The 14391-nt window shown below is 38.2% G+C and overlaps 1 pseudogene; it reads right to left on the reverse strand.

Moving 5' to 3' along the window:
• LOC101930090 (contactin associated protein family member 3B pseudogene) overlaps positions 1 to 14391 on the reverse strand; it is a 50205-nt pseudogene that overhangs the window by 22608 nt on the left and 13206 nt on the right.

A 14391-nucleotide genomic window follows, 5' to 3' on the forward strand; every position in this document is an offset into this window, starting at 1 on the left:
TACCTGTATAGTAACAGGAGATTAAAAATGAAAGAGCTGTGAATTTTAGACCCTATTTAAGACAGAGTCTCTGGGAAAACTCAAAACGGAAGAAAGAAAAATAAAATAACCTTAGAGGAAATTTTGGCCTCTGACACCACAGTTATGCAAAGAGCAAATTCAGCCTAACTACTAACTAGATAAACATAAAACCTTACATTAAAGGCTTCCTTACCTCAGTTCCTTTGCCAATACAACATGTCTGGCTTTCAACAGAAAATTGCAAGGTATGCTAAAGCCAAACAATACAGTCTTATGAGACGAATCAAGCAAACATGCAGATGTGACAGATTTGGAAATATCAGATAAGGAATTTGAAATAATAATCAATATGCTAAAGGCTCTATGTTGAAAAAGTGGGCAACATGCAAGGAGAGATAGGTACTATAAACAAAGATATGAAATCTCAAAATCAGAAGGAAATACAGAGATTAAAAGTAAAAATTGTAGAATGTCTTTGATGGCCTCATCAAAGTCTGGGAAGACTGGGAAGTGCTGAGGAAAGAATCAGTGAGTTTGAAGATATGTCAATGAAAATTTTCCATTAAAAACAAAGAGAAAAAGAATGAAAAATGAAACATAATATCCAAACTGTTGGACAATAATTTTTTTTTTTTTTTTTTTGAGATGGAGTCTCTCTCTGTCGCCCAGGCTGGAGTGCAGTGGTGCAATCTCGGCTCACTGCAAGCTCCGCCTCCTGGGTTCACGCCATTCTCCTGCCTCAGCCTCCCGAGTAGCTGGGACTACAGGCGCCTGCCACCACGCCCAGCTAATTTTTTGTATTTTTAGTAGAGGCGTGGTTTCCCCGTGGTAGCCAGGATGGTCTGGATCTCCTGAACTTGTGATCCGCCCGCCTCGGCCTCCCAAAGTGCTGGGATTACAGGCAAGTGAGTCACCGCGCCCGGCCCTGTTGGATAATTTCAAACGGTGTAACCTATGTAACCCATAATCGGAATACCAGAAGTAGAAGGAAGAGAGTGAGAACCAGAAGAAATATTTAAAATAATGACAGTTGAGAATGTTTCAAAATTAATGACAGACATGAAACCATAGGTTCAGGAATCTCAGCAAACACCAAGCAGGTTAAATACAAAAAAATCCACACCTAGGCATCTCATGTTCAAATTGCAAAAAATTGAAGACTTTCTTAAAATTAAAATAAAATCTTTTAAAAATAAAATCCCGAAATAAACCACAGTAAAATAAAACACCTTACCTACATAGGAGCAAGAATGAGAATTATGCCAGATTTCCCTTAAGAAACCATGCAAGCAAGAAGAAAGTGAAGTGAAATATTTAAACTGTTGAGAGAAAACACACACTAATATAAAATTCTATATCCAGTAAAATTATCCTAAATAGTAAAGTAGAAATAAAGACTTAGATAAACAGAATTGAGGAAATCTTTCTCCAGTAGACCTACCTTGCAAGCCATGTTAATAGAAGTTCCTCAGAGAAAAGAAAAACAATATAGGTCAAAAACACAGAAATACATAAAGAAAGGTAGGAGCATTAGAGAAGAAAAAAATTAAAATAAAATCTAGTGTCTTCTTCTTAATTGATGTAATAGGTAACAGCTCTAAATAATACTAACAATGTATTGGGTGATTATGGCTTATGAATAAGTAAAATGAATGATAATAATGTAATACAAAATAAGACAGAAGGATTGGAAATGCTGTGTTATAAAGTACCAGCACCATTAATGAAGTGGAATAGTGTTATTTGAAAGTAGATTGTTATAGTGTACATTTCATACTCAAAGGCTACCACTAAAACAATTACCAAGAAATGTAATTAATATTCTAGGAGAAGTGAGGATATGGAATCATATAAAATGCTCAATTAAAACAAAAAATGTGAGAGGGGAATTCAGGAAAAAAAGAAGAAACAAGGGCAACAAATAAAAAAGAGTTACAATATGGCAAATATTAATCCAAGTATCAATAATCACTTTAAATGTAAACAGTCTAAATATACCAATTAAGAAAGCAATGGCAACAAAAGCCAAAATTGACAAATGGGATCTAATTAAACTAAAGAGCTTCTGCACAGCAAAAGAAACTAAAATCAGAGTGAACAGGCAACCTATAGAATGGGAGAAAATTTTTGCAATCTACCCATCTAACAAAGGGCTAATATCCAGAATCTACACAGAACTTAAACAAATTTACAAGAAAAAATCAACCTCATCAAAAAGTGGGCGAAGTATATGAACAGACACTTCTCAAAAGAAGACATTTATGCAGCCAACAGACACATGAAAAAATGCTCATCATCACTGGCCATCAGAGAAATGCAAATCAAAACCACAATGAGATACCATCTCACACCAGTTAGAATGACGATCATTAAAAAGTCAGGAAACAACAGGTGCAGGAGAGGATGTGGAGAAATAGGAACACTTTTAGACTGTTGGTGGGACTGTAAACTAGTTCAACCATTGTGGAAGACAGTGTTGCGATTCCTCATGGATCTAGAACTAGAAATACCATTTGACCCAGCCATCCCATTACTGGGTATATACCCAAAGGATTATAAATCATGCTGCTATAAAGACACATGCACACATATGTTTACTGAGGCAGTATTCACAATAGCAAAGACTTGGAACCAACCCAAATGTCCATCAATGACAGACTGGATTAAGAAAATGTGGTACATATATACCATGGAATACTATGCAGCCATGAAAAAGGATGAGTTCATGTCCTTTGTAGGGCCATGGATGAAGCTGGAAACCATCATTCTCAGCAAACTATCGCAAGGACAAAAAACCAAACACTGCATGTTCGCACTCATAGGTGGGAATTGAACAATGAGAACACTTGGACACAGGAAGGGGAACATCACACACCGGGGCCTGTCATGGGGTGTGGGGAGAGGGGAGGAATAGCATTAGGAGATATAGCTAATGTAAATGATGAGTTAATGGGTGCAGCACACAATTAACATATGGATACATATGTAACAAACCTGCATGTTGTGCACATGTACCCTAGAAATTAAGGTATGATAATAATAAAATAAAAGACTGAGACTGTCAGAGTGAACAACAACAACAAAACCCATGATCCACCTACATGTTGTCTACTGAAATCCTCTTTAAATATAAAATAGCAGGTAGATTTGAAGCGCTAGAGAAAGATATACCATGGTAACACTAACCAAAAAGAAAGACAGAGTATCTAAATTAATTTTAGACAAAGCCAACTGCAGAGCAAGGTAAATTATCCGAGATGAAAAAGGGCATTACACAATAATAAAGGGGTCAATATAACAAGAAGATATAATAATGCTTAATATGTATATACCTAGCAACAGAAGAGTCAAAATATATTAGGGGGAAACTGATAGAACTGCAAGGACAGAGAGACACATCCATTATTACCACTGGAGACTTCAACACCCCTCTATGAGTAAGTGACAGACTCAGCAGGAAGAAAATCATTAAGGATAGATTTGAACTGAACAGCACCATCAATCAACTGGATCTAACTGAATACTTTAGAATTCAATTAGCGTTATAGAATATTTTATCTAGACACTGCAGAATACACATTCTTCTCAAATACAAATGCACAATTCATTAAGTTAAACCACATTCTAGGCCACAGAACACTTTACCAAATTTAAAAGAATAGAAATCACAAAAGGCATGTTCTTGAATCAGAATGGAATTAAACTAATAATAGCAGAAAGAGAGCTGAAATATCCTCAAATACCAAAAAATTTAAAAACACATTTCTAAATAATAAAACATGGTGAAAGAGAAAGTCTCGAGAGAAACAAAATTTTTTAACTAAGGCAGTAATTAATAACCTTCCCAAACAGAAAGTACCAAGCCCAGATGATTCACTGGTGAGTTCTATCAACATTGGAGAAATAAATGATACCAATTTTCCACAATCTGTTGCAGAAAATAGAAGCAGAGTGACTATTTCTTAACTCATTCCATGGGCCAGCATTACCCTAATACCCAAACCAGCAAAACCTTACAAAAAAGTAAACTGCAAACAAATATCTCCCTTGAACATGGATGAAGCAATCCTTAAAAAATATTAGCAAATTGAACCAAACAATTTTTAAAAATAAACACCACAACCAAGTGGGATTTACTCTAGATATGCCTTTAACATTTGAAAATTAATTAATATAGTCCATCAGATCAACAAGCTAAAGAATAAAAATCATATGCTTCCAGTACTTTCTGCTCAATTTCTATGTAAACTTAAAATTGCTAAAAAATATAAAGCCTATTAATATAAGAAAACTGATGGAGCAGAATGGAAAAATAAACAGATCCACAATTATAGTACAGATTTCAAAATGTCTCTCTTAGCAACTGACAGAACTACTGGACAAGAAGTCAGCAAGGATATACAAGATCTGAACAACATAATCAACCAACAGGATCTCATTGAAATACATACAGAATACTCCACTTAAGAATAGCAGAATATACATTTTTTTTTCAAATGCCCATGAAAAATTTACAAGACAGACCATATCCCTGGGAGCCAAACAAACCTCAACGTATTTAAAAGAACTAAAATCACACAAAGTATATTCTCTGAGCATAATGGAATCAAACTGGAAATCAATACCAGAAAGAGAAAAAGAAAATCTCTAAACACTTAGAAATTTTTAAAAATACACTTCTAAATAAGCTACAGGTCAAAGAATATGCTTCAAAGAAATTTATTAAAATACTTAAATGAAAATGAAACTACATGAAAAACTAAATGAAAATGAGAATACAACATATCAAAATATGTGAAATGTAGGTAAAACTGTGTTGATAGGGAAAATGTAGCATTAAATGCCTACATTAGGAAAGAAGAAAGCCCTAAAGCCAATAATGTAAGTTCTTACCTCTAGAAACTAGAAAACAAAATTAACTCATACAAGCTGAAGGAAGGAGATAACAAAGAGAAGAGCAGATTTCAATAGAATTTGAAACAAAAATAATAGAGAAAATCATGAAATGAAAATCTAGTTCTAAAAAACAGTAAGATTGAAAAACTTCTATAAAGACTGACAGAGACAAAAAAAGATGAGACAAACTATAAATATGAGAAATTTAAGTGGATATCACTACAGATGCTGGAGACATCAAACGAATAATAAGAAAATACTATAAATAATTCTACACAAATCAACTTGACAATTCAGATTAATGGACAAATTTCTCAAAAAGTACAAACTACCACAATTCACCTAACATGAAATAGGTAATTTAAGTAATTGTAATTATTAAGAAAATTGAATTCATAATTTAAAATTACTGAAAAAAAAATCTCTTGGCCCAGATGGTTTTACTGGAGAATTCTTTTTGTTTTGTTTTGTTTTTGGTTTTTATTTTTGAGATGAAATCTCGTTCTGTTGCCCAGGCTGGAGTGCAGTGGTGTGATCTTGGCTCACTGCAACCTCTGCCTCCCAAGTTCAAGCGATTCTCCTGCCTCAGCCTCCTGAGTAGCTGGGATTATAGGTGTGTGCCACCACACCCAACTAATTTTTGTATTTTTAGTGGAGACGGGGTTTCACCATGTTGGCCAGGCAGGTCTCGAACTCCTGACCTCAAGTGATCCATCTGCCTCAGCCTCCCAAAGTGCTGGGATCACAGGCATGAGCCACCCTGCCGGGCCTTACTGGAGAATTCTACCAAATGTTTAAATAAAAATTAAAGTCAATTTTACATAATCTCTTCCAGAAAACAGGAGACTAGAGAATGCTACCAAATTCATTTTATGTAGGCAGTATTGTCCTGATACTGAAACCAGATAAAGACAATATGAAAAAAGAAAACTACATATCAATATCTCTTATGAATTTGAATGCAAAAATATTCAATAAAATATTAATAAATCAAACACATTAGAAATGTATTTTTTAAATTATACATTATGGCGAAATGGGAGTTGCTCTAGTTATGCAAAGCTGATTCAACATATCAACAGACAAAAGAAGAAATATAATATTTTAATACCAATTGACACAGAAAAGACATTTGACAAAAATCCAATGTCCTTTCAAAATAAAAACTGTCAGCCAACCAGGAATAAAAGGGAACTACCTCCACATAACATAGGAAACAAGAATGAATGCTTTTCCCCTAAGACAGGAAACAAGGCAAGGATGTCTGTCCTCACCACTCTAGTTCAACCTAGTATTGAAAGTCTAGCTACTGCAATAAAGCAAGAAAAATAAATTAACTCCCTACAGATTGACGAGGAAGAAATAAAGCTGACTCTACTTGCAGATGACATGATTTTCCATATAGAAAATCCCAAGGAATCTAAAAAAAAATTAAGTTCAAAAAAGAGCTTATAAGATTAGTATGAAACAATCATATTTCATATTCTAACAAGAAACATATGTAAACAAAAATTTAAAGCACAACAGCACTTACAATCAATCAAGAAACTAACTAAATGCCTAAGCATACTTATAAAACATATAATCTCTGGATGCTAAGAATTACAAAATGCTGAGGCAAGAAATCAAAGATCCAAATAAATGGAAAGATATCTCATGTTCATGGATTGGAAGACTCAAAACAGTAAAACACCAATTTTCCCTTCATTGAGCTATTATGTTTAATGTCATTCCCATAAAAATTCTAGCAAGATGTTTGTAGACATAAACAAATTTATTACAAAATTTATACAGAATGAGGCAAGCTACAGACTTAAACAATCTTGAAAAAGAAGAATAAAGCAGGAGGAATAACTCAACCCTGCTATACAGCTACCACGTTCAAGACAGTGTGATATTGGTGGAGGCATATAAATTAATGAAACAGATAAAGAATGCAGAAACAGACCCACCACACAAGTAAGTTCAACCAATTTTTAACACTATTTAAAATGCAATTCAATGCAGGAAGGATAGCCTTTTCAACAAATGGTTCTGGAGCAACTGAACATTCATAGTCAGAGAGAGTGAGAGAGAATCAACTCTCACATCTTATATAAAATGTGTCCCAAAATAGGGCATGGAATTAAAAGTAAAAGGTAAAACTATACAACTTTTAGGAAAAAAATTCAAAAATCTTTGGAATTGGAATTTAGGGTTAGGTAAAGAATTTTTAGAATTGACACGATGTGTACAACCCATAAAAGGAAAATATGATAAACTGAATCTCATCAAAATTAAAACTTTTGCTCTAAAAAATTCCAGTTAAGAGTCAATGAATAGGCAAGCAACAGAGTGGGAAAAAATATTCGCAAATCACATATCCAACAAAAGGCTAGTATCTAGAATATATAAAGAACTGAAAATTCAACAGTAACAAAACAAATCCAAACAATCCAATTAGAAAATGAACAACAACAAAAACACATTCACAGACATCTATCTCACTGAAAACGATATACAGATGGCAAATAAGCATATAAAACATGCTCAATATTATTAGACATCAGGGAGACACAAATTAAAACCACAATAAAGATATTACTACACAGTTATCAGAATAGCTAAAATAAAAAATAGTCACAACACCAAATGCTGATGAGCATGTGGAGGAAATGAAATCATACACTGTTGGTGGGAATGGTACAACCATTCTAGAAAACAATTTGGCAGCTTTTTATAAAACTAAGTATGCAATTACCATATATGACCCACCTATTGCACTTTGGGGCATTAATTCCAGAGAAATGAAAACTAATGTTCACACAAAACCTGTACACAATGTTCATAAAAGCTTTATTCATAATTGCCCCAAACTGTAAACAAACAACCCAGATGCCCTTCAATGAGTGAATAAACTCTGGTATATCCATGCCACCGATTGCTAATCAGCAATGAAAAGGAACAAATTACTGATATACACAATTATGCAAATGAATCTAGAGAGGATTACACAGAGTGAAAAAAACTCAACCACAAAGAGTACATACTATATATTTCATTTACATAACATTCTTGAAGTTTAAAAAAACCCATAGAAATGGAGAACATACTAGTGGTTATTAACGAGCAATAGAGCAATAGGAGGAATTCTTTTTTTTTTTTTTTTTTGAGACGGAACGGAGTCTTGCTCTGTCGCCCAGGCTGGAGTGCATTGGCGCCATCTCGGCTCACTGCAAGCTCCACCTCCCGGGTTCACGCCATTCTCCTGCCTCAGCCTCCCAAGTAGACTATAGGCACCCGCCACCACACCTGGCTACTTTTTTGTATTTTTAGTAGAGACGGGGTTTCATCGTGTTAGCCAGGATGGTCTGATTTCCTGACCTCGTGATCCGCCCGCCTCGGCCTCCCGAAGTGTTGGGATTACAGGCATGAGCCACCGTGCCCGGCCAATAGGAGGAATTCTTGTGCTGATGGAAATACTGTGTATCTTGACTGTATGGATGTCAAGATTCCGGCTGTGATATTGCACTATACTTCTACAAGATGTCACCTTGGGGTGGGGGAACTGCTTAACGGCTACTCGGGTTCTCTCTGTTACTTCTCACAAGTGTATGTAAATCTACAATTATCTCAAAATTTTTTTTAAATTATCTTTTCAAAAGAGGAGAAATAGGGAAATTCTCACTGATGGGAGTAGAATATTCCATTTCTTGTGTTATTTTAGCCCCTAGCCCAGTAGTTTCCAAAAGATCACCTGGGGATTTTTTTTTTAAACAATTCCAAAGCCAAGGCTACACTTCATTCAACAGCAATGAACTAACAAATAATTAAGTTTTGTAATGCCAACTTTAAAAAACTGGAGAACTGGGAAGGAGAGTTTCTTACTTACTGAACTTATGTAAGATATCTCATTTATAAAAGAAACCCCATGAGATCAGTACTACAGGGTCCATTTCATCAAAGAGGAAACAAAGTCTGAAAAAGATTAAGGAATGGCCTAAATTTCCACAACTGCTAAGTGACAGACTTAGCACTTGAACTTCAAACTTTGAATGCAACCAGACCTTTGCTCTTTCTACTAGACCAAATTGGCTGGCAGGCATCCAGGGGAGAGAGGGATCACCCTGGGAAGGGACCCAGATGCCGACTGCACAGGTCTAGCACAGTGGGTAAGATTTAAGAGTGTGAGGGCCGGGCGCGGTGGCTCACGCCTGTAATCCCAACACTTTGGGAGGCTGAGGCGGGCGGATCACCTGAGGTCAGGAGTTCAAGAACAGCCTGACCAACACGGTGAAACCCCGTCTCTACTAAAAATACAAAAATTAGCCGGGTGTGGCGGCACCTGCCTGTATTCTCAGCTATTCGGGAGGCTGAGGCAGGAGAATCGCTTGAATCCGGGAGGGGAGGGGGTTGCAGTGAGCAAAGATCGTGCCACTGCACTCCAGCCTGGGTGACAGAGAGGCCAATCCAGGCAGAGGAAATGGTCTGGCATATTCCAGGGGCTGATTGGCCAGACGGATTAGGGAAGGCAATGCAGGTATGGGTTAGTGGATCAGCGCAAACCACCTTCAGATGACAGTCATACACCACTTTCCAACTTAAAGATTTTGTATTGAAAATTTAAGAGTGAAATTTAATTTAAGTGGCTTTATTATGCTACCGACATACACTGTTTTTGTTTTTTTAAGACAAGGTGTTGCTCTGCTGCCCAAGCTGGAGGCAGTGAAGCAATCACAGCTCACTGCAGCCTGGACTTCCTGGGCTCCAGTGATCCTCCCACCTATATACTATTTGGGATTGCTAAAACTAAAAAAATGAAAGGCAAATTTCAGTATTTAACTATAATTAGCAATAAAGTGCTTTCAAGAAACTATATGGAAACTGTTGGAGAGCAGCGGTGAGTCCTGCAGGGGACTGTGGGGATTCTGGAAAGGAGGGGGAAGTTGGTCTTTAACTTAGGAGAAGACGGTTTTGATGCAGGCAGAGTTTCCAAAACATTACTTCCATATATGAAGATTAAGGTATACATTTCTCAAGATATAATTTCAAAAAAATGAGACACCCACTGACAAAAGGTTTTAATAACCCTAGTCATTATTTCATCCTAGACCACAGTGAAAGTGGCGGGGCTGAGGAAGGGCATATTCAGTTAATCTAAAGGGAGGAAACAAAGGTTCCAAGTAGATTTAGAGGAAGACTTTGAGAAGAGTAAGGAGGTTACCGGTTCCCACTGGTCTTCATGAAGAACTGTTAGACCCAGCCTGCCCTACAGCCATTATCTCCTCAGTGTGAACGGAAAGCTAAGGCATAAGTTATTAGCAAAATTTCCCTTGATTAAGAAAGGACAAGTCACTAGTCCTGCATATGAACGCGCTGAACGTCTCTCAATGGTCAGGAAGGCGCTCTTGAATGCTCTTTGGTCCAACCAAGAGCGCGAAGAGAAGGAGAGAGCGGTCAGGGCTTTGAACTAAGAGCCACGGGAGGGACCCTGGCCTTTTCTCCCTCAAAGGCATCTCGCAGCCCGAGGGCCGCGCCCCGGCCTCGTGAGCCCCTGTAGCCTCCAGCAGTGGCGCTTACCTTGTGAGTCCGGGCGCCGCGCTGTCCCGCAGAGCAGAGCCAGCCGCTGCCCTCAGCGCTCCGCCAGGTTCACCGCGGCCCGCAGCTGCCCCGCGCCCGCTGCGTACGCGAAGGACACAGCCGAGCGCGGGTGCCCACTGGGGGCACCTCGGAGGGTCACCGCGTCGGGGCCACCGTGCCGCACCACCGTCCACGCGGAGTCTGCTGAGCAGAAACGGGCAAAGGAGAGGCATCACTGGGCGGCAGAGGCCAGCAGCAAGAGGCAAAGCAGACCTGTCTTTTATGTGAATTAACGTTTAATTGAAATTTACATTACTGCATGTTTGCCGCGATTTGAGGAGTTGGACCTGTGTAACAATGTACTGAGCCAGAACTCAGCCTCTAAGAGAAAGCATATTGGAAGAACTGATGACCAAACTTTTGCGACGTCACGCCTAAAAATGTATCATGTAAGCAATGACTTTTTAGTTGTTAAAACCATTTTTTTATATCAACACAAGCATGGGGCCAAACTGTTACTACCTGGACCTTTATCTTTTTAAACTCATCTGCATTTTCCTCATCTGTATGTGCCTCTATTTCTTTCATTATCGAATAAATTTATAAAAGATACATATTGGGACGTTGTGACGCACATACTCACAGGTATGATAGGAAGCAGCTCTATTAAAATAAAGTGGTTTAATTATGTCAGCTTCTCCATCAGTGACCAAGCCCAGAGGAATCAGAGGCCTTGAGCTTCTAACAGCACTTTCCAGGCGGTGACCCTGAGCATCTGACTGCCTGCTGACATCATTTCTGATGTATCTCTGTCACTTGATTACTTATATTGTTTTGATGAAATAAAAACAAAATGACTCCACAATCTCAAAAGGGAAGAAGTGCATCTTGAGTTCTTTAGTGTTCCCAACAATGGACCTCCCACCAGACTTGAAGTCACTTTAATTCTACTATGCTGGTGCTGTCTGGTCCTTTAACCTCTAATAAGATATATTTAGAATAATGGACATTTTACATAAAAATTTTCCGAACTGGAGAAACGAAGAAACATTTGTATGGGGATTTTTTAAGAACTACGAAACAAAACAATGTGATACATTTTACCTTGAGAAATCACCCTCCCAGCCCTTCACATCTCAGGATTTTTCATGGCTTGGCTGCTAAATGGCTAAATGGCTTGTGCGTAAGACAAATTTCACAGCCTTACTGTTACTTACACATGCCTAACAACAGAGATCAGAGGAAAGAAGGAAAAGAAAACCAGCCATGCTACTGAAATATCTCTTTAGTCACAGAACCCATGGAGAGCAAAGGTGTGATATCCACAAATGAGCCACAAGTACAGAAAAAAAATCTGCAAATTTAAATAACGAATGCAATTTTAAATTAAATTATCACTCCACTCACTGTACTCACCAAAGGAGGCTCTAAGTGTGCCTATGGTAATTTCAATTCCATGGGTTCTTCCTTTAATATTGCTCTATTTTTTTATTTTAGATTTTTTATTTAATTTATTTATTTTTGAGATAAGAGTCTCGCTCTGTTGCCCAGGCTGGAGTGCAGTGGCGCTATCTCAGCTCACTGCAGCCTCTGCCTCCTGGGTTCAAGCAGTTCTCCTGTCTCAGCCTCACAAGTAGCTGGGACTACAGGCAAACACCACCACACCTGGCTAATTTTTGTATTTTTTTAGTAGAGACGGGGGTTTCACCATGTTGGCCAGGCTGGTCTTGAACTCCCAACCTCAGGTGATCCACCCGCCTTGGCCTCCCAAAGTGCTGGGATTACAGGTGTGAGCCACCACGCCTGGCCTCATTTTAGAATTTTTACAACCTGGTGTTACTCTGTGCACATCACCTACTCTCACCTTCAGAGTTTTCCTATCAACTGAATCAAATATAGAAAAACCTATGGAACACTAAGTTGGGCATTGAAGATGATCAACCACATGCCATTTTTGGCCATGTGTTCATGATTTGTTGTACAATGGGAGAGAAATGATGGTCCGGAGTAGTTCACATAGGCTGGTGGGCAGTATGATAGATTTGCAGTCACCCATGGTTAAGATGTAATCACAGAAATGCCCTCAGTACTGAGAAGGGAACTGTTGAGAATACATCTGTAAAACTTGTTTTTCTGAAGAGTAGAATAGTAACCAGGGACATTATAGGATATGCATTTGTGTTTATAAAATTCCACTTGACTCACTTCTCCTTATAATATCAGTAGTAAAAGACCCAAAGAAGGACACAGACCATTGTGGTTTCCCTAATTGCTCGTAATTTATTTCAATTGATTATAAGCATATTGGAACTGGAAAGGATCTTAAAGAGCATCTAATATAACCCTTATATTTTTCTTTTTCTTTTTTATTAGAGATAGGGTCTCCCTCTGTTGCCCAGCTTGGAGTGCAGTGGCACCTTCATAGTTTACTGCAGCCTCGACCTCCTGGGCTCAAGTGAATTGGACCTGAGTAGATTAATTATAACAGTGGCTAAATGTGGAAAGGGGTTCAGAGGTGTGGCTGAGTCAGAACACACTGGAGGCCGTCTCACCAGCCCAGAAGGAGGGTAACTGTAACACGTTGATACCTGTTCCACTCCTGTTGCTCAAATAAATATCCAACTTTGAAAATTAAGCTAATTTAACTTCATGATTTTGATTGGAATTAACAGTACAGATGTTCCTCAATTTATGATGAAGTTGCATCCGGATGAACTTATTATAAATTAAAAATGCATTTTAATACATGTGACCTACTGAACCTAGCTCAACCCAGCCTAACTTAAATGTGCTCAGAACACTTAAATCAGCCCACAGTTGGGCAAAATCATCTAACACAATGCCTATTTTACAATAAAGTGTTGAATATCTCATGTCATTTATTAACTACTGTACTGAGAGTAAAAAAAAAAAATAATAATAATGGTTGTGGCCAGGCGTGGTGGCTCACGCCTGTAATCCCAGCACTTTGGGAGGCCGAGGCAGGCGGATTACGAGGTCAGGAGATCGAGACCATCCTGGCTAACATGGTAAAACCCTATCTCTACTAAAAATACAAAAAATTAGCCGGGCGTGGTGGCACATGCCTGTAGTCCCAGCTACCGGGGAGGCCGAGGCAGAAGAATCACTTGAACCCGGGAGGTGGAGGTTGCAGTGAGCCGAGATCGTGCCACTGTACTCCAGCCTGGGTGACAGAGCAAGCCTCTGTCTCAAAATAATAATAATAATAATAATAATAATAATAATAATAATAAAATAATAGTTGTATGGGTACTTGAAATAGGGATGCATATGGTTTCACATAGGGAAGTCGCAATATTGTAAGTAGAACCATTGTAAACGGGGATTGTCTGCACTTAAAATTTACTCAGTATATCATATGAAATCCCCAGCATCTGGTATACCCATTCCTATATGTCCCAGAAGAAAAAAGAAAATAAGATCCACTGTGTTCTGTTGTCAGGAGCATACATATTAAGGTTATCTCTTTTAGAGAACTGACCCTTTCATTTGTCTGAGAAAATCTTTATTTCTTCACTTTTCAAGGAGAAGGTTTTGTTTTGTTTTGTTTTCTCTCTTTCACACTTTAAGTATCTCACTGCATTCTTGCTGGCATGATTTCTGAAGAGAAGATGCTGTAATACTTATCTCCTATGTAGGTAAGGTGCTTTCTTCCTCTGATTATTTTTAAGAATTTACTTTTACCTGGCCTGGGCATGGTGGCTCATGCCTGTAATCCCAGCACTTTGGGAGGCTGAGGTGGGTGGATCACCTGAGTTCGGGAGTTGAAGACCAGCCTGACCAACATGGAGAAACCCTGTCTGTACTAAAAATACAAAAATTAGCCAGGCATGGTGTCACATGCCCATAATCCCAGCTACTCAGGAGGCTGAGGCAGGAGAATCACCTGAACCC

Source organism: Homo sapiens, chromosome 9 (assembly GCF_000001405.40).
Source record: "Homo sapiens chromosome 9, GRCh38.p14 Primary Assembly".
NCBI classification, from domain to species: Eukaryota; Metazoa; Chordata; class Mammalia; order Primates; family Hominidae; genus Homo; species Homo sapiens.